The 21,313-nt window shown below is 40.8% G+C and overlaps 1 long non-coding RNA gene across 2 annotated transcripts in view, besides 1 other annotated feature; it reads right to left on the bottom strand.

Annotated features, from left to right (window-relative positions):
* LOC124900354 (uncharacterized) overlaps positions 1–21,313 on the bottom strand; it is a 165,186-nt gene that overhangs the window by 17,776 nt on the left and 126,097 nt on the right. The window lies entirely within an intron of this gene.
* Positions 19,073–19,587: an enhancer, noted in NCBI's record as "NANOG hESC enhancer chr15:48304383-48304897 (GRCh37/hg19 assembly coordinates)". NCBI's record gives its function as "activates a minimal SCP1, AML or CMV promoter by ChIP-STARR-seq in naive H9 embryonic stem cells {active_cell/tissue: H9 hESC(naive)}" and the evidence as "EXISTENCE:reporter gene assay evidence [ECO:0000049][PMID:30033119]".

Raw genomic sequence — 21,313 nt, 5'->3', positions numbered from 1 at the left:
TAGCACACTGTGCTTCTAACAGCTGTCTGACTACTGGAGAGTCCTGGCTCAATTTCTCATCTCCTGTAAAAGATAAGGAGTTGCTTACAGGTGCTCTGAGACATCACCCTGAGCCAGCGATGGGGGAAGGGAACCCACCTCTCTCTCCCTCCTTCATGCTCTCTTGCCTTTGCTATTCCACTGAAAGAAAAATCAATATCTAACCCAGAGAACAAATCAAACAGCTCCAGATAGGCAGCATTTCCCTGGTGCCCATCTAAAGAAGATATCTTCTGCAGGCCCTGGCAAAGAACTGTAATGACTGCAGCCAGCCTGTGGATTTCTATGCAGAAGGGAATATTTTTGCAATAGAGTCTACACTATGTACCTCCCCCTCCCACTTCCCCTCACTCCTTCTTTCTTGAACCAGAATCCCTTCCCCGTGCATCCCCTTAGAACTCATTGCAAATGAGCCTGGAGATCTGGCCCAGAGCAGAGGAGGTGTCCATGTTTTTAAAGCGAACTTTCCTTCCTTCCTGTTTACCATGTTCCTTCGTGGATGAATGGTGAATCTGGCCACCGGTACCTGGGATGGGCTGCTCAGGTTCATCGGGAGGTGATGTATTTTGCTTTGAGGCTTAAAGCACTCACTTATTTCTAACAGAAGCTAAAAAGCTGTCTGAGCGAGAAAGTAGTGTGGAATTTAGCAGGAACTACCGCTTGCAATACCACCAAGAAGGCTGCCAGCTGCCCAGGACAAGTGTTGTTCTCTTTTCTGCATTAATCAATGATTCCCTTTCTGTTTTCCAAGTATTTGAAGAAATTACTTTGTGTTCTATATATTGATTTATATCTGTTCCCACATGTATACATACAATTCAAACTTAACTGGGAAAAGAAGCTTCATGGCTTTTCCCAGCAGTCAACGAAATGATCACCTTACAAGATTTGGAATGAACGTTTAAGCACTTTTCTCCTTAGGACTAATACTCGTAATCATAATCATAGTAGTTATAGTAATAATCACCACCACTACATGTTAAATGTGTTCTATATCTAGGCACAGTGTACAGTGTTCTATATCCTTTTTCTTCTTTCATTCTTACATAAATTCTTATTAGGAGATCATATTCCTGCTGGTATCAGAAACTACAAACAAAACACAAAGTCTTTAAATTCACTATTTGCCTTTTTTTGAGTTTTGTCTTATTTTTTAGGCTTTTGCTTTTATAGAACATGTTATTTGAGACTTTTGGAACATGATGTAAGGTCTATAATAATGAAATCCAACTGAAGATTAGTTGCCTATTTTAAAAGGGCACATGTAGGTTATATTGTAAAGGTTAATATTAACAAGAAGAAGAAAAAGAAAAGGCACTTAACATTCACATGGCACTGGACACTGTTTCAACCATATGGCATTTGTTACCTCAACTCAACCCTTTTGATGGGTATTACTATGTCCCTTTGTAGATGAGGAAACTGAGGTTCAGAGAGAGTAGATAACTTGCCTAAGACCCTCAGCTGGTAAGTGGTGGAACTGAAGTCAGAACAGACTGGCCTAACCCTAAAGCGTGGAGCAGGTGTAAACCCATTATGGAATAGCTGCGCTCAGGCATAGGGAAGGGCTATTAGAATTAGGGAGGGAGGGAGGGTGAGGATGCATCAGGAGCAACATTGGCTGGACTTTTTGGGGCTGAGGCCTCTTCTGTCCTTAGGTAGTAATTACCTCCATGACATTGCATTTATAATGCAGGGGACGCTCTCTGCTGCAGGCAGGAAGAGTTGAAACACTAAGCCTGGTTGGAGGCCAACATTTGAGGATCTGTTGTACACATTTATAGAGTTGCTTGCTTAGTTTCTGCTTTTTCTGGAAATTGTCTCTCCACTGTGGTGACTCCCATGGCAACTGTATTATATGATGTGGCCTTGATCCACTGACCGCAGCTGATTATTCCAGGGCTAGCCCCCAAGCCAAGCTGGGCCAGTCTGGTTTTCTTTCCAGAAAATTTGGAATTGAAATTCAGCAGGAGCTCTGGGTGGCCTGAGAAGCTGAGAAAGCTGACCTGCAGCAGGAGACAGCAGTGCTGAAAGCATAGAGATGAAAGACTCAGAGGAACAAGTTCTGGTCTATCCCAGAGGCCCCACTGCATCCCTGCCCTGGGGTGCTGTGATACCATATATTAAAAATTACATGTAAGCCAGGCGTGGTGACTCACGCCTGTAATCCCAGCACTTTGGGAGGTCAAGGCGGGTGGATCATCTGAGGTCGGGAGTTCGAGACCAGCCTGACCGATACGGAGAAACCCCTTCTCTACTAAAAATACAAACTTAGCTGGGCGTGGTGGCACATGCCTGTAATCCCAGCTACTAGGGAGACTGAGGCAGGAGAATCGGTTGAACTCGGGAGGTGGAGGTTGTGGTTGGCTGAGATCATGCCATTGCACTCCAGTCTGGGCAACAAAAGCGAAATTCTGTCTCAAAAAAAAAAATTACATGTAATATGGTAAACTTCAATTTTTGTTTAAATCGATTCAGTGGGTTTTTGTTATTGGCAGACAAAGGGGCCCCTAATTCTAGAGTATGTACAGCCCAGTCCTAGGTTAGAGGACAGCCCTGAAGAGGTTGGCGATGAGATCATGGTGTCATATTGATGGCTGTGGTAAAGAGGAGACCAAAGAGAACTGCTGCATTCCCAGAGTCTCCTAAAATCCTGAAAATCTGAGGATGCAGTGCAGAGTTATTTACAGTCTAGTGATGGGATCCCCAGTGGATGAGGGAAGAAAGCTCACCCATTGCTCCTTCCCCAGTGACAGCCAGAGCAGAACGGAAAGGGGTGCCAATGGGCAGGAGGCCAAGAAGAGCAGGGTGGCAGCTGATCCTCCCAGGAGCCCACAGTGGAAGCAGCCAGGGAGATTTTGGGCACCAGGAGCGGGAAAGCATGGCTACTGTGGCCTTGTGCAAATCTATGGGAAACCTGCAGGAGGGCATTTGGTGGGATTTGAGGTTCTGTGATTCATGGGAGAGTATGTGGGGGGTGTACTGTGTTGTCACTATTGTTAGGATGCTACAGACACCCCAGGGCTGATGTGGCATGAAGCAATGCACCTTACACAAGCTGAGAAGAGCAGAAAATGAATCTGGATTCAAATGGAGGATAATTAGCAAAGCCCATTTATCAAACTCAAATTGAAAAAGACTGTGTTTGAATGTAAAACATCTTCTTTCTGCTCGTAGCTTTTCTCTACCTAGGACCGAGACAGGAGACCACAGAAACAGACACATCCCTGTCTTCTCCAAATGTCCCTCCACACTTTTTCCAGGCCTGCTCACCCTAGACAGTCTGTGACTCAGGCCGTGGCTACCTGCTTCCTCATAGGAGCTGACACAAAGCCTGCTGGTTTGCCTTATTGAAAATTCTCTCTGCTCTTTCACTTTTTCTGGCGAATAATAGGAGGTCATCTGGTTCGTGACCATCATCTCTTCCCGGCTTCATGAATGCTTCTTGATACTTTGAAATCAACAAAGATTCAGAGTGACTGTGTCTCTATGGATGATAAGGCACCATAGTTAAAGTATGAATTCTAACTCTATAATGCAAATAAAGGAAAAATCCAGGAACTGAATCAGATGGAACTCTTCTTATCAGATCTCACTGCATTTTACTATGTTAGCTTTTCTTTCCTTTTAAAAAGTATTATCTTTGCAAGAAGTGACTGAGGAATGTTATGCTACACTGAAAGGGAAAAATCTAGTGTCTTAGATATTTTTCTAAATAAATATTTATGTCCCTTCTTATTCTTTTTCCTTGGAAGCTCCTTGGTCTTTCTCATGAAAAGTACCATGATACATGGGCAGAGTATCTTCTACTTCTGTGGTTTGAGTTCATCTTGGTGATGATATGCTTTTGGTTGTGTTCATGAGAAATTTGTTTATAAGTCATTGCACATGTTTTATACCTGAATAAAAAAGAAATATGCATAGATGTCATTGTGCTTGATTGAATCCTTACGCATGACGATCTGAGAGCGCTTATGCAGGGCGTTATGAACAATTAATGATTTACTCATCTCTGAGTTCGAGCAATGTGGCATATATTAGCTGAGGCTGATGAAAGGCATCACATAAGTGCAAAACATTATTAGTTTTTAGGAAGGGATGATAAGATTTGAAGCATAACCCAGCCCTGGTGAAATACTCATTCTCTAGTAAGCTGCTTGCAGTTCGAATTGAGGTAGCAGAGAGGTTTTGGTCTCCACTCACGTTAATCTTTTAAGCAGAAATGAAGCCTAAAAACTCATAGATCTCTGATTGGAGGGGTGCCTGAGACATATACCTTAGACATCGTAAGAATCACATTGGGGACCAAATCTGAGATGTGTCTGCCAGCCTCTCGGGTGACCTTCCACCCAGGGGCTGAGGCAAGGCGGTGGAAGCTGGGCTGTGTTTGGCTCCCGGAAGCACCTCATCAGGAAAAGACGAGACAGGCATCTCTGAATGATGGGCTGTTAGAGGTTTAAAATATTTGCCTTGGGTGACCTTCGGGAAAAACACCATCCTCTCTGGCTTAATGTGAATTAAATTTTTCAATTACTCCAGAGGAAGGCAGGCAGTGGCTCCAAGCATGCTTATTTGTGGAAAGTAAAATGAAATTAAACACTTCAGCAGAAGAAATCTTAGCAGCTCACTGATTCCAGGGCATCGCCCCTTGCTGCTCAACGGCAGTGAAAATTTGATTTGAGGGTAACGGATATTTTAAATGGAGTGTCCTGAATCCATCTAAACATGTTTTTATTCTGAGAGAATAACTATACTAATTTGTATATCCTGTGAAAGAAATGAAGCATTTTAATATTTTCTTCCCCTTAAAGAAGAGTGCTGCAGATCTCTTGAGTAATGGAAGGAGAATTCATTGTAGGAATGTGAGGTGCTCCTGTTGGGTGTCACATACTGGTATGTAGAGGATCCCGTCTGTTCATGGGATGCTCAGATTAAAAATGGGGATCCTGGGAATGGGAGAAACTCTCATTAGTTTCATAACCTGCGTGGTCCTGTTCTTCTTTTTGCAAGAAGACAAGAGAAAAAGTGTGTGTGTATGTTTCATCGGGTTGTAGATATTGATCATGTATCAGAAAGACCATGATACTATGGTGTATTTAAAGTCTGGAACCAAGGGTTGTGGAATGATCATATCATCTTCCTTGGGGATATCTAGGAATATGCCAAATCTCTATGAGCTTGGGGTGGTTTGGACTTCATTGTTCCTGGTTGGAATGGAGGAATGTTCAGTGTGTGTGGAGAAGGCATGGCTTTGGTACTTCCGAGTATTCCTCTTCATAGCCTTTGTTTAGAGGTTTAATGAAGAAGCAAAATAAAAAAGGATGCGAGAAGGCAGGCAAAAAGAAAAGATATTCTATGATACTTTGATTTGTAAAGTGTTCTGTGATTGAGACTATAAACAACAGTTTCCATTTCTGATATATTCAGGTGTGTAAGCTTGATCCGTTACCACATAAGATCGCAAATGGGAACAGTCTCACCGGCTGCTTGAGGACATGCAAGAGTGGAAGTGGGAAGAGAAAGGAAAGTCCTCCATGTCAGGAAGTCTTGGAAACAGTCCTTTATGCCACTTAGGTTGTTAAATAACTTTGTGAAATTCCTTATCTTAAAATGGTTTTTGAACTAGAAATCAGAATGAAGGAAGTTTTCTTTGTATTATAATACTAAATGCATGTTTTAGGCTGGAGCAGTAATGCTAATGAAATTTACCATTTCTTGATTCCCTGCTATGGCCCAGACACTCACCTGAGAACTTTGATTCTCACAATAATCCTCTGAGATAGGTTTCTAAGTATTTCTATCTTACAATTAAAAAATTTAAGCTCAGAGAAGTAAAGTGCTTACTTTTTTAGAGTTATGCACACATCTTGGTCAGCTGTCAGCCTAGCTCTTTATTAGCCCACTAATAAAGGATATAGTTGTTCCAAACTAATAAGACTTAGAATGTAATCATGTTACTTCTGATGTGTTTTAAGATTAGAACTAGGTTACAAGGAAGCAGAAAGGATGAAGGAAAGAAAAGGAGGAGGAGGAGAAGGAAAGGAAGCAGAGAAAAGGACAAAAAATGAGGGGAAGAAGTAAAAATGGCAATAATGTCATATTTGCGGCATACTTAACAAATTGTTTATTGTTCATTTGAAGTTCAAATTTAACTGGGTGTCCTATATTTTATCTGGCAATCCCAAGTATGTTCCAGGCAAAAGGCTAAACATTTTCCATATATAATCTTATGTAAGATTTACAAAATAGCAAGCAGCAACTATTGTCCCCTGTTTTTTAGATGAGGATACTGAGACTCAAAGTGGTGAAGAGACTTATCCAATGTCATAAGCTGGGAGCTAGGGTATGACCCAAGCAGAACCTGTACACTGGAGCCCAGGATTACTGACAAAGGACACACCTTCTCTAGCCCCTCCTGGTGGAGTAAGTTAAAAATCTTGTATATATAAATATTCTGAATATAGAAATGAAACCTTTGTGGTAAATCTCATAAAAATGGGTCCTGAAGATAGAAAATTGCATTCAAACCTCAGTCATCTCCATTAATTACAAGAAAAAGTGTGAAAAGGGAAAAGCATGAATCGAATTGTGACATATTGCTAGGTGTTGCATGTTAAGGGAGACACTAAATAAAACAGAATGTATCTGGAGTTGTCTGATCAGGCTACTGGTAGTGGTGGGAAGAGGGTGAACTGGAAGTGTTTAACTTGGAAATAAACAACTGAGAAGAAGAAACACAATAGCTACCTGAATTATGGGAAGAGCTGTCAGTTCTAATTTCTAGTGGCTAGCCGTCTATTACTCCAAAAAATAAAACTAGACCAAGAAGTGAAAGTTTGGTAGAGGTACATTTCTACTTAACAACACAAAGGACCATTTTCTAGAAACCAAAATCGTCTAATGGTAGAACCCTGGAAATAATTGGACCTTATACTACAGGCCTTCAAGTTGAACCTGGATGACAGACCATCTGAGATGTTGTAGGGAAGATTTCTGAATTGAGTGAACAGCTCAGCCAGACAGCCGTATGGGTGTGCACACACACATACACAACTGTATATATATTTAACCCTTTCCCATTTAGAAGAAAAGAGTGCAGCTTGCTGCCAGTGCTCATGTAATTTTACACAAACTTGCTCTTTGAGGCTGAAGCAAATCTGATTTTCAATGCGAAAATAACATATAAAAACTGTTCTTGGAGTTATTTCTAAACAAAACTAGCACCAGAATTGTCTGAATCATCAGAATCATCTATTTTGGAAAAAATCAGACTCATCAAATGAATCTTTGGCCAATAACTGTTCGAGAACGATATTAACATGCTTAGGAATGGTACGTTTTCTAGGATTTGACATTTTTGGCACTCGAGAATTACTATATTTTGTAAATGGAAGTACCACTACTAAAACCAGAATGCTATAAATGGAATGATGTCATTTGTTTCCAAAGTCAATGAACGATGTGAAAATAACATTAAAAGTGAGATATTTCATGGCAAAATTATCTCAGGGTAAACGCTGCAGCCGCAAGCGCCAGCGAGTATTCTTGGGGCAAACGGGAGAAGGGTTAAGACATTATATTTGACAACAAATGAAACTTGGAAAGCTAAAGTGTCTCTCAACTTTAGTCATTTGGAGTCCATCCTTGGTGCCATTTTATGTCTTGGCATCCTGTCCTCTCTTTCCTAGATTATTATCTAAACCTTCTAATGAATCTTCCTGTTTCCAAACTCCCTTCTCCGTAATCATTTGTTCAGAGAACCTCCACATATTATTTTCTAAATTCAAGCATATTAATTGTATTCTCTTGCTAAAAAGCCCTCAGAGCTTCAATTATCTATGAGAAATGCATTTCAAGTGCCTGAGCATGGCCGACCAGGCCTGCCTCCAGTTGTGGCTCCTGCTATCGCCCTCTCGACTCCCCGTGTGTCTGCGGCTTCAGCTCCCCGAGGAGTCTTGCTGCTCTCTCTCTCTTCCCTCACCCACATTGTCTCTCCTTGTGAACTCCTCTCTATCCCTCAAAACCTAGTTCACATTTCGTCTTCTTTGAAACACCTTTTCTGATGTTCCTGGATAGAATTCACCACTCCTTTTTGTAGGTGTCTACCTTGCATACACTCTTCTTGCTGTATAGTTACTTCTGTTAACTTTGCTGTGTAGTTACTTCTATGTCACCTGACAGGCTCTAGGCCTCAAAAAGGCAGGAACTGGGTTTTAGGCATCCGTTCATCCACATCAAGAGCACAGTGCCTTACGCAAAGGAGGCACTCATAAATACAGAAGCTATTACCAAAGAGAAACCTCTGGGGGACTACAAAAATCCATGTCCATCCTAACATTTATGAGGCCTGGGACTAGAGTACAAATGGAGGCTCATATAACATATGCCTGCATATTTAAAAATTATAAATCAAGCTAACAAATTACTTTATAAAATAGGTTCTATCTTCCTACCAGGCCAAACATATCCTCACTGTGGCAATACCAAATATATGTAAAGCTTTGTGGGTTTTAAAACTTCTTTTTAAGGTCTGAAAGTCTGCGAAATACCAAAGATGACTGAATTTAATTATTAATGTCCATGTCTGAGGATTATTTTGGTGAATTGGTGACATTTGCATGAGAATAAAATGAAGACATACATAATACATAAATTACCATATATTTATTCCATAAAATTTATTCTCTTAACTTTAGCAAAAATCATCAATTATGTGATTTTCACATAATTTGGGTCCTATTTATAGTGATCATCTAAAGGATTAATAATCTAATTGCATTCCAAATAGACAAAATCTGAATGTATTTTCATATAAAGGATAAATAAACATCAAGGTGAAAATTGTAAATGAGAATTCTTTTCATGTAAGTGTTATTGTAAGAGTCAAAAAGTTGTAAAAAAATTAAAAGTTGACAAATTCATAATAGCAAAGACTTGGAACCAACCCAGATGCCCATCAGTGTTAGACTGGATAAAGAAAATGTGGCACATATGCACCATGGAATACTATGCAGCCATAAAAAAGAATGAGTTCATGTCTTTTGCAGAGACATGGGTGAAGCTGGAAACCACCATTCTCAGCAAACTAGCACAGGAACAGAAAACCAAACACTGCACTTTCTCACTCCTAAATGGGAGTTGAACAATGAGAACATATGGGCACAGGGAGGGGAACATCACACACCAGGGCCTGTCAGGGGGTGGGAGGCTAGGGGAAGGATAGCATTAGGAGAAATACCTAATGTAGATGATGGATTGATGGGTGCAGCAAACCACCATGGCACATGTATACCTATGTAACAAACCTGCACGTTCTGCACATGTATCAGAGAACTTAAGGTATAATAATTAAAAAAAGAATAGATGAAGAATAAGGAGATAGTAACTCATTTGCAGGAAAAAAAAGTTACAGTAAATTAAGGTTAACTTATTATTGAAGAAAGAAAAGGTTTTTAAAAAACAATTTTAGTGTAGCCTATGTGTACAGTATTTGTAGAGTCTACAGTGGTGCACGGTAATGTCCTAGGCCTTCACATTCACTCACCCCTAGAGCAACTGCTAGTTCTGCAAACTGTGTTCATCATAAGTGCCTATTCAGGCATACCACTTTTATATTTTATACCATATTGTTACTGTACCATTTCCATGTTTAGCTATGTTTAGATACACAAATACCATTGTGTTAAAATTGCCTACAGTATTCAATACAGTAACATGCAGTTCAGGTTTGTAGCCTAGGAGCAATAGACTTTACCATATATCCTAGGTGTATAGTAGGCTATACCATCTAGGTTTGTGTAAGTACACTCTACGATGTTTGTACAATGACCGAATTGCCTAAGGATGCTTTTCTCAGAACATATTCCTGTCATTAAGTGATGCATGACTGCATGTGCTTAGTATTTTCTTTATCGACCTCATTCTTTTGCTTATGAGGATATCATTTGAATCACTATCACGGTTATTTTTAACAGTGACTAAATTTTATTCATGAGTTTGATGAACCAATCAATTTAATAAGACATCTCAAAGTAAAATTTAATAAGAATATGTCTTTTGCCAAAAAATTTTATCACCTACATTTTATGGTTTGCTCCATTAAAGGCTCCTGAAGCGCTGCAGAGATGAGGCCTGGGTTTGCACCTGGCCAGTGTGAATACACAGCATTTACTCTGAGCAGGCACTTTGGTATGCTGGAACAATCACGTGCCTTGTGATGGATGATACATGCTCACTCCACTCTGCTGCCTTGCTGTGAAAGCTCTGTTTCTGCAGCCCTAGGAAATGTCATTATTCCACAGATCCAGGTTCTCAAATTATGGGGCAGTACTTACTTATAGTCATCTGCCAGATATACTGTGGGCTTTAAATTGGGTTTAATATTTGATCAAATGAAGACACCAACTTAAAATAAATTATTATAGAACTCTTGAGTCTTCTGATGATATCATACACAGGTCCCAAACTGAGAATTGAGAGTTCTAGAGGCAGCTTTAAAAGGATTTGTTGTAAAACATTATTTATCCCTAAAACTCAATATATGCCAACAATTTTATTGAGATATAATTTATATACCATACAATTCACCTACTTAAAGTAAAGTATGCAATTCAATGGTGGTTGTTATATTAACAGAATTGTGCAACTATCTCTATAATCTAATTTTGGAACATTTTTATCACCCCAGAAGAAACCCTGTACCCATTAGCTGTCATTCCCTATTTCCCTGCCCCTGCAGCCCTTTTAGTCCAAAAAACTCATCTACTTTCTGTCTTTATAGATTTGCCTATTTTGGATATTTCATATAATAGAATCATATAATATATGAACTTTTGTGTCTGACTTCTTTCACTTACATAATATTTTCAAGATTCATCCACATAGTAGCATGTGTCTACTTCTCTTTATGACTGAATAATATCCAATTGTATGGATATCCCACATTTTATTTATCCATTTACTTGTTGATGAATGTTTAAGTTGTTTCCACTTTGGGCTATTATGAATAATACTGCTATGAACATTCATGTACATTTTTTTTGTAGATGTATGTTTTCATTTCTCCTGGGTACTGTATTAGTCCGTTTTCAAACTGCTATAAAGATACTACCCGAGACTGGGCAATTTATAAACAAAAGAGGTTTAATTGACTCACAGTTCCGCATGGCTGGGGAGGCCTCAGGAAACTTACAATCATGGCAGAAGGCAAAGAGGAAGCAAGCACCTTCTTCACAAGGCAGCGTGAGTGAGAGAAAGAGTGCAGGGGAAATCGCCACTTATCAAACAACCAGATCTCATGAGAACTCCCTCACCATCACGAGAAGAGCATGGGGGAAACGGCCTCCATGATCTAATCACCTCCCACCAGGTCCCTCCCTTGACATATGGGGATTACAATTTGAGACGAGATTAGTGTGGGAACAGAAAGCCAAACCATATCATGTACATACGTTGGTGTGGAACTGCTTGGTCATATGGAAACCTTGTTTAACATTTTGAGGGATTGACAAGCTGTTTTCTACAGCAGCTGCATCATTTTATTTTCCCAGCAGAAATGTATGAGGGTTTCAGTTTTTCCACATCCTAATCAACACTTCTTATGGTGTGCTTTTTTTTTCCCCCTAGAGACAGGGCCTTACTATGTTGCCCAGGCTAGGCTGGAGTGCAGTGGTGCAATTGTAGCTCACTGCAGCCTCAAATTCCTGGGCTCAAGCAATCTTCCTTTCTCAGCCTCCTGAGTAGCTGGAACTACAGGTGCATGCCACAGCACCTGGCTAATTTTTAACTTTTATGTAGACATGAGGTCTCCCTTTGTTGCCCAGGCTTGTCTTGAAACCCTGGCTTCAAGTAATCCTCCTGCCTCAACCTCCCAAAGTGTTGGGATTATAGGCATGAGCTACTACACCCAGCCGGGTATGTTTTTCTTGACTACAGCCATCCTAGTGGGTATAAAGTAATATCTCATTGTGGTTTTGATTTGCATTTCCCTAATGACTAATGATATTAAGCATCTTTTTATCTACTTATTGGCGATTTATATATATTGTCTTTGGAGAAGTGTTTATTCAGATCCTTTGTCCATTTTAAAATTTGGTTATTAATCCTCAATGTATTTTTAAATGGGCGTTCTATGAACATGAGAAAATGAGATAGCAATGTGCTGTGGTTTCTAAGAGCTCATGCTCTGTGATCTACTAGCTATGCGTAGATAACGTATTAACATGTCTGAATTTTAGCTTCCTCAGCTACGAAGTGCTATTATCATCTCCTAGAGCTGTGGTGAGAATTAACTAAAATAACATGGATGAAGCTCTTGCGCGGCACCTGGCACATGGTAAGCACTCCACACACAGTAATTGTCATGACCTCTACAGCTCTTCCTGGCAGTGAATCCCAAATGATTTTGTCCTTTTTATTAGTTTATTGTCTCCACAAATAGACTGTACGTATTCTAAGGGTAGGGATGGTACTCTTATACTCTTCTTAAAATTCCCATATTACTTTTGACAGTCTGAGCAGGTAGTGAATTGGGGAAAGTTTCATGGAGCCAGTTGCAGGAGAACAGGGTTATAAAGATCAGGAAGATGAGAAGACCATTTGGGGTAGAGAGTAAAGACACAGAAATAGAAAGCAGTGAGTTCAACTCCAGAGAAACATGAAAGGAAATGGAGTAGATAAGGCTAGAAAAGGTGGAACTGGGGGTGGTCAGCCTTTGCTAGAATCACATTCCTGCACTGGAGCCATAACCTCAGTCCAGTGCACAAGGTCAAAGATATGGTGGTGCTCTCGACTCAGGTATATGGGCTGGGATGCCAGGCAGTAAGGAAGGAAGGTGGGCATGTTGCAGTCTGTAGCCCTACAGAGCCTATTCTGCTTCTTGATGAGCCTGCTGCCTAATTGAATGCCAGAACCAAGCATTTGCAGGAGATTGGTGAAAGGTCTTCATGGACTGTCCTGTATGAGTTACAAGCAGGAAAAGTACAAGTTGAAAGAAGATGTTTGGGACTGATCTCCCACAGTCCTCAAAGAAGTCTGGGGATGCAGCTTCTTCTTTGTGGTCTCCAGACACAGTCGTCACTCATTCAGGTTTCGTAGACCCATGAAAAAGAACAAAGACAAATTTCCGTTGTTGTTGTCTTTGTTGTTTTAAGTATCAGAATATTGTTGCTTTTCTGCCTGTTTAGTTAGGCCACAGCTTCCATGCCCCATGACTAGGTGAGTTTACTTGCATGGCTTCATTTTCTCTTTGTCAGAGGATGCTGTGACCTTTGTCCTTCCAAGCCAAAATTCGGAGCAGTTGCCTTGCCCATCGAGGTTATTCAGAAAGTCAGCGGGGACACTGGGAACAGATTCATATGTTCTGTAAGCCTGTGCTTTTTTCAAAAGACAAACTGACCTCTCTTATATTATCAAGAATTAGTAGGCACTAATTTATAGTCATTTTACTTCCTATCAAATGACTATTGGAAGTAATAAAAGGCCTGGACTAAGGCCATCCAGAAACTCCTAAATTGGAAATATCTGTGGCCTATTGTCTTCGGACTTTTAAATCCCACTTAGCAGCTGATGACTGCTCCCTTGCCTGGTGTCGGATGCAACCAAATCTTTCTATGCTTCCTGAGCATTGAGGGAAAATGTGGTTTTCTAAAAAGTAACTGAGACTGTTGCTGTGTTCAGTAAGCTGCCAGGGCTTGTATGAACATGCCAGGCCAAGCTGGGAGAGATTTTCTGAGCCTTCCAACCTCTACTCTTTCCCCTTCCCATGGAGGTTCATTTCTCAGGGCACAGCGTGTCCTCTGAAAAGTTTACATAGCTGATGGCAGCAAGCGGTGTTCTCCCAGCAGTGAGGGCTCCTCCCTCACTCCTACAGGCTGGCTCACCTTGCTCAGAGAGTCCTTGGGCCTTGGGGACAAGGGCAAGAAAGCATGTATGAGGAAGAACATGCTGGAGGAAAATTATAATCAGCCTAGAGGCAATTACTTTAGCTGATGCCATCGCTAGCAACACCTTAGGTACAACTCTCAAAACACACAAAGGGCTTGAGAAAGATTGATAACGTTTGCACCTTTTACTCACTATTTCTGTTTTCACATGTTTCCCATGCTTTCAGGTGCTTATGTTCAGGCAAACATCTTGCTTCTTTTGAATCAGAGAGGCCGATCAGGAGAAGGAGTTACGGTTTGGAAAATTTTCTTAAGGAGGTGAGGAAGGATGTATGAAGCGCATACAAGGTGCAAGTAGCTTAGATTGAGGACCAGTGGAATTGAAAGAAAATTAAAGAAAAGCAGTGTGCACAGTGAAAAAAGGAAATGAAAGAGAGTGGTTCAAGAGATGTAAGATCAATCTAATCAGTGACAGCTGGAAAGTGAGGGGTGTTCAACTCATGGACAACTTCAGTGCTTACTTCTCAGGGTCTGATAACTGCTTTGAAAAATTTCCTTGTGTAAACATGGGCATATCACCTAGTGTCCTCAAACCTCAATAACCTCAAGTATACACATTCGCCAACAGTAACATCCCACCATAATATTGTTGCGGGATCAGATGAGATCGTGTATATGAAAGCATTTTGTGAACTGCAAGCATTGTCTAATGTGAGATATTATTGCATGCCAGGAGACTCATTATTTACATTAACCAGGCCAGAAGCCAGTCAGAAGTCACACAGTGTCTCTCAAAGGAGTGCACTTTTATTACTTCCTAGCTCATAATAACTTGGACTGTCAACAAGTTAGTTAGTTTAGGAGAAGACCTTGGAGGCTTCTGTTGTGGTGTGGTACCAAATGAGGAGGGCTTAGTTAAAAAAGTGCAAATCTTCATGCTTTACAATTTCTTATGATGCCTTCTATGCTATCCTGTGGTGTGCACTTGGTAGAGACATGAATATTCCAGCAACAGTTCAGAAAGAAGTTCCATTCTACTTCTCCACCAATTTACTCTATCTGGAAAATAGTTTCACTTGTAGTCATCCTACTTAGAGGTTGGAGTCATCTGGGCGGAAATGCACTTCTGTATTCTGTGTTTTTTGAGAGCATAAATGAGATAGTGCAACACGAAGGGTTTGTGAATTATAATTTGCTAAGGCAAGTGGTACAGGTACTTGCTGTTGTGGGTCACAGAGGCAACTTGTACTGGAAACGTAATCTCAAGTAAGAAGAGTTGAGTTCAAGTCCTGATTCCATCACCTGACCTCAGGTGTGCTAAGCCAGCACTCTTGTTAGAATGTAAAGCATGTGAGACATGTATTTTCTCTTTCTATTATCTATACTCTGTCCCTTGGTGGAAGTATGAATGGTCTTTCTGCACAAGGTCTGCACTTGCATGTGTCTGAACCCCACCCAGTTCTGGTTTGCTGATTCCATAGTCATAACTTTTAAAATTCACAATGGCTGTTTAGACCAAGTGGCTGTGAAGAGACAAAATGTGTAATATCCAGGATGGAGTCCAGGGTCTGTGCTGTACTTCTAATGAAAGTGATCTCTGGTAATCTTTGGTTTTGAATACCTCCATTGTATACTTTCCATCATTTTTATGATAAGAAATATGTCATCTATGTGGCATCTGCAGAGTCCTGGTTGAGAAGTGAGTTGGTTTAAAGCATTTCATTTCAAATTACTCATAAAGATTTCGGTGGCATTGTTCCTTCATTCTACCTGGTAGTCAATTCTCTTTAAGACCACAATTGCATGACTGCCATCTTTTGAACCTAACTACTGCAGTTTAAAAGTCCCTCAAACCCAAACAAAAACATTTATTTTCTTTAATGTGTGAGCTTCTCTATGGCCTGGTCTAAAATTCCTTTTACATCTGTTTTGAAATGGAGTGTATGTGAGCCATAAGCTTCCCTCCCTCTGCTTCTTCCTTAGGACCCTGAAGTGGTCCATCAGTTCAAGTACAGAGGCAGATGCAGGCTTAATTTGACTGACAGCTTGTAGGAACTTCTGGCCCAGCATTTTAAGTGAGATGAAGTTGGCATTTAGTATGATGTCTCACTATCTGGAGAAAATTCATCCTTGTATGGCCAGAATTTTTCACTCACCTGAGGAAAGCTGACAGCTTTCAATACTTATGATGCATTACCGACACGTTTTCTCCTCTTTTTGGCTAGTGCCAACTGGCAAGCATTTTTCAACTGATAGGACATGACTTTTTTTTTTCTTTGCAGGAGAGCGGCTACTACCTTTGAGATACCCGGATATTTCCTTAGTACTAAAATTTTAGGGTGTTTATTTCAAAGCTGTATGTATGAGTACTTAATTTAATAATGTTAATGAGATGAGTATGATTCTCTCCTGCTGGGAAGCAGAGCATCGTGGAAAGAGTCCTAGTTCTGAAATCAGAAGATCTGGGCTTGAATTCTGGCTATTCTACTAATTAGGTAGGCTTAAAGTTCTGGCTTGAATTCTGATCTTGAATTCTGGCTATTCTACTAATCTTGAGCCATACATTTAATCTTTGTAAGTCTTAATTTCTTGCTTTGTGAAGTGAGAGATAATAATGATTCTGCTGGGATTTCAAATGAGCTCATGAATATGATTGTGGAGTGATATGTAAGTGAAAATTGTTATCATGGAATCATTATCCTTATAGCTACTGGAGTTGGAAGGTACATTTTTAATTTCTTTGGTTTGGTCAACAGGTTTCACGATTCTTGCTCTTGTAATTTCAGAGGATAGTGCAAATTCTCAGTGCTTCACACCAACCTCTCTAAGGGTGTCATTGTTGGAGGAGGATGAGAAAGAGGATTCCTTGAGGAAAAAAAAATGTACACTGAGTTGAATGATGCCTTTCTAAAATCCCTCCAATTCCAAAATCCTGTTGTGATTATTGCTATAGTCTTAATGTTTGTGTCCCCTCAAAATTCATATATTGACATTGTAAGCCCTAAGGTGATGATATTAGGAGGTAGGGTTCTTGGAGAGGTGATTAGGTCATGAGGTAGAGGCCCAGGGCCCAAGTGGGATTATTACCCTTGTGCAATAGGCCCAAGAAACTCTTCCTCCATTATACCATGTGAGGACACAGCTAAAAGGCACCATCTATGAACTGGAAAGCGGGCCCTCACCAGATACCAAATCTGCTGGTGACTTAATCTTGGACTTTGCAGCCTCCAGAATGGTCAGTAATAAATTTTTGTCATTTATAAGCCATCCAGTTTATGGTATTTTGTTACAGCAGGATGAACAGACTAAGACAATAATATTCTAGCACTAACAATTGCAATAAAGAACTCATGAAGCTTAGATATTGTCTCATTCATTCACATCAGAGAGAGAGAAAGACTGACAGAGAGAACAGTAGTTAGGGAACAGGTGACACCATGTGCCCAGGGCTTGACAAATAACAGTTATTTGGCTGCTTTGGTTGATGGGATATCATTCTAGCATCTCCATAGGTCTTTTGTGTCAGTTTAGTTTAACCAATACTAAGATAAGTAGGTAGGATCCTAGGTGCCATGCAGTGTATAGAATTCATCCATTTCTGTCCTCAGGAGTTTACAAGCTTGTAAATCCCCTCTTCTTTGGTGCCTCATCTTTGTTATCTATATCCATATCTATATATGCATCTTTATCTCTCTATCTATCTATCTATCTATCATCTATCTATCTATCTATATATCTATCTATATATCTATCTATATATCTATCTATATATATATCTATATCTATCTATCTATCTATCTATCTATCTATCTATCTATCTATCTATATCTTGTTTAAACTTACACTGGAAGGGGATTTTGTTTGTGAGCTCCATAAAGAAAATGTCTCACTGCTTCTAGCATCTGCACTCACCAGGAAGCAGGACTGGCTGCCCAAAGGCTGGACCTGGAGTGGTTCAAGATCTGCAGTTAGTATATCCAGGACAAACAATCAAGTTTGAGAGGTACATTTGGCCAAGGTATGGATTGGTGGAAAGCAGGACAGTGTTTGGGATCAGGAGCCACTCTTGTGTGATTATGTGAGTGCACTGACAAACAAGATGATGCAGTCTGCAGAGTCATCCAGCTCCAGCCTCAGCAGATGCTGACAGGGGCCACCTCTCCTTGTTCATCACGTGGCCCCTGGCACTACCTTATAAGGAGAGGTCAGATTCAGCTCTGGTGAGACTATGGAAACAGCTGCTATTGCCATGGCTCCATGGATGCTTCCAGGTTACTCATTTAATCATCCACGCTTTCATTTGTTCATTCAACAAATGTTTATTGAATGTCTATTGTGGGCCACAGATTGTTCAAAATATTGATGACAAAATGGTGAGCAGGAACACATAATTGTTGCTTTCATGGAGTTTACAATTCACTGTGAAAGAAATACATGAATGGAAATTATCCCAGCAATGGACATATACACCAGCAACGAGCGCTATGAAGGAGAGAACCAGGTCAGGGAAGATCTGAAGCAGGAATGGAGGATATAACATGCAAAAGGGGGCAGGGAGAGCTTTCCAGGCAGAGGAAATACTGCATGCCAAGGCCCCCCTACTCTGGTGATCTGAAAGAAGACAGTATCTAGAGTACCGAGAGTCAGGAGAAACAAGATCAGATGAGATTGGAGACGAAGGCAAGAACCTTTGTAGATTAGAGTAAGGGTTTTAGACTTTATGCCTATTCAAAAATGACAGGATGAAGGGGTTTTAAGCAAAGGCCTGAAGTTTGTCTCTTGAAACTTACTCTGGTTACGGATTGGGGAAGAATCAGAGGGGGAACCTGATCTCTTTCAGGGTCTCCAGAAAGGCTATTGTCTGCAGCTCAGAGAGAGAAGATGGCAGTCTTGGACTAGAATGACAGCCGTGGAGGGAGGGAGGTTGGAGATACCGAGCGACACTGAAGAGGCAAGCCTTGGAGGTTTGCTTATGAGGGTAGAGAGATAGAAGGGAAGTAGTGAGGGACCCTCAGGAGGCCAGGAAGGACAGAAATGAAGGCAGAAGCTGGGATTGGGGGAGGCAGAGTTGGCAGGTAACAGGGAGAGAATGGCAGGAAGGCTGCAGTTCATTTTTTACTCCATCTACCTATGAATACTGTGCTAAGCCTGATTTGGCCAATTTGTTTTCAACTTTTAGCAATTTTGTTTTGGAGGTTAACTGTGTGAAGCATTTTAACTCCTGGGTTCAGTTTTCTGTTTGATTTGGGGGTCTGCATGTATATGAGCATGAGTGAGGGTGGCTGAGGGGGCATGGATATTTGGCCCTTCAGCTCTGGGTTTCCACCCCCTCTTCTGGCATGTAGATTGCTGGCCATAGGCAGCATTTCCCCATCCCCCTTTATCTCTTTCTCCTCACTAACTTTCACCAATGACCGAGCAAGTGTAGTTAGCCCGAGGTTACGTAGAACCTTTCTGTTAGTTGTTTTCCATTCACTGACCATTCTGCCCTCAGGCAGTTGGTTAGGCTTATTCCTGACAGAATAGTCTCACCTGCCCACAGAGGTGCCTTCAGGAATTTTGAGGGTGGGGAGGGTCTGCAGGCAGTTTTCACTTTTTTTTTTTTAAATGACACTAGACAATTAAACTTTTACTGAAGCTTCAACAGAAACACATTTCAAGACCAGTGAGGGGAGATATTATGGCACCAAAACTTCCCCTCCTCTATCATACTAGGATACATTTCAATTACTATTCAACCTACAGTTTTCCTTCTTTTAGATTTTGTTTCACACAAATCTGTGCAGGTTTTCAACTAGGGCTAAACAGTGACTTAGCCCAGCCCAGCCCATTAAAGTTTCAAGATGTTGGTGCCAATTGCCCTGCGATGACAGTACATGTAACTTTCTTTATATTAAATGGAGGTTGGAATTTGAGGGATGAAGAGATCTTGACACTATGGTGAAATTTGACATAAAGGAATGCTTTTTTTCCCCCAAATGAACAGTGATGCTCATAAGTTGTTCATCTATTTGTCTCACCCAATTAATCAATAAGTACAAATTTATTGAGCATTTACAATGTGCCAGGCATAGTGCTGATGATGAGGAATGGGAAACATCAGTGATGAATAAGTCTTGGCTCAGCAATGCTGTTTCCATGTTTCTGTGAAGTGCCCTGCCCATCAAAGAGATTGAAGGAGAATGGGAAACAGAGGTTTTGCTTGGGATGCTGCTGGTGGTGGTGACGGCGCCATATAATTTGAATTGTCTTGCCATAACCTCCCTTGATATTTGTTCAAGGGCTTTTGTTTTAGTTAAAATTTCGTGTGCATTTTGCAGTTGGCTTTATAATATATTCGTGTTTGTTTAAATATTTAAAATATTCACCAATCTTAGGAGAAAACTATTGCTGCAGTTAAATATGTCATGCATATCCTGTGACTTTGTGAGCCCCCGGCCTACATTTGAGAAACCCATGCCACCCACATGCTCCTATGTACATACCATCAGAAAGAGGAGGAAGAGAGTACAAAGTCTGGTGTGAGAGACAGTCATACAAACAAATGACAACAATACAATAGAGAAGAGATTTGGTTTACTTTGAGGCAATCATGGAAGCAGATGTTAAAACCAAGTCTCGAAGGAAAGACTAAGAATTTTGAGGGAATGGGAGGAGCATTCGAGGAAATGCATACATAAATGTATGAAAGTGTGAAATACAGTGACTTGCTTAGGGAATGGTAAGTAATCCCAAGTTACAGAAGCATAGAGTTTGTTGGAAAGAAAGGAGCTAGGAGAGTAGGTTGCAGCCAAATTTGAAGAAGGCGTTGGATGTCATCCTGAGTCTGAACCAAATCCAGAGCCATTGATTCCACAGGCGAGGAGAAATATTTTAAGTTTTTCTTAGTGAAGAACCGTGAGTAGGTGTATGTCCTAGAAATATCACTGGGTAGGACTCAGTCATACATGATTAGTGTGGGGAAGCAGGGCAGAGGATGTGGATTCCAGGATTCCCTTTGCTCTTGGACCATCAGGAACATAGTGGTAAAGGCGGGGAAACCCACCCACTTCTGATTCCCATGAAGTTGGGGAGGGGGCCTGGCAATCTGCATGCTCAAATATTTCATTTAAAATCTGAATGCAATTTGCCAGGTTTGGAATTTGCTGATCTTTGGCAATCCTCTCATAGAGCACATGAGGAAAGGTGAAGCCATTTCCCAATGTCACCAGCTAATTATTGGCAGAAGCAGAACTCACATACAGTTCTTTTGCTTCCAGTCACGAGTTTCCCCCACCAATGTAGGCCAAGAGTGTTAACCCAAGTCAGAATGTCTGGGTTCACATTCTCCATTGCATACTTCTCTATATGCAATGAAGGCGCGTGGGAGGACAGAGTTGTTTTGCAGGGCA

Source organism: Homo sapiens, chromosome 15 (genome assembly GCF_000001405.40).
Source record: "Homo sapiens chromosome 15, GRCh38.p14 Primary Assembly".
Taxonomy (NCBI): Eukaryota; Metazoa; Chordata; class Mammalia; order Primates; family Hominidae; genus Homo; species Homo sapiens.
The sequence above is the reverse complement of the archived record's forward strand: the minus strand, read 5'-3'. Positions and strand labels throughout refer to the sequence as shown.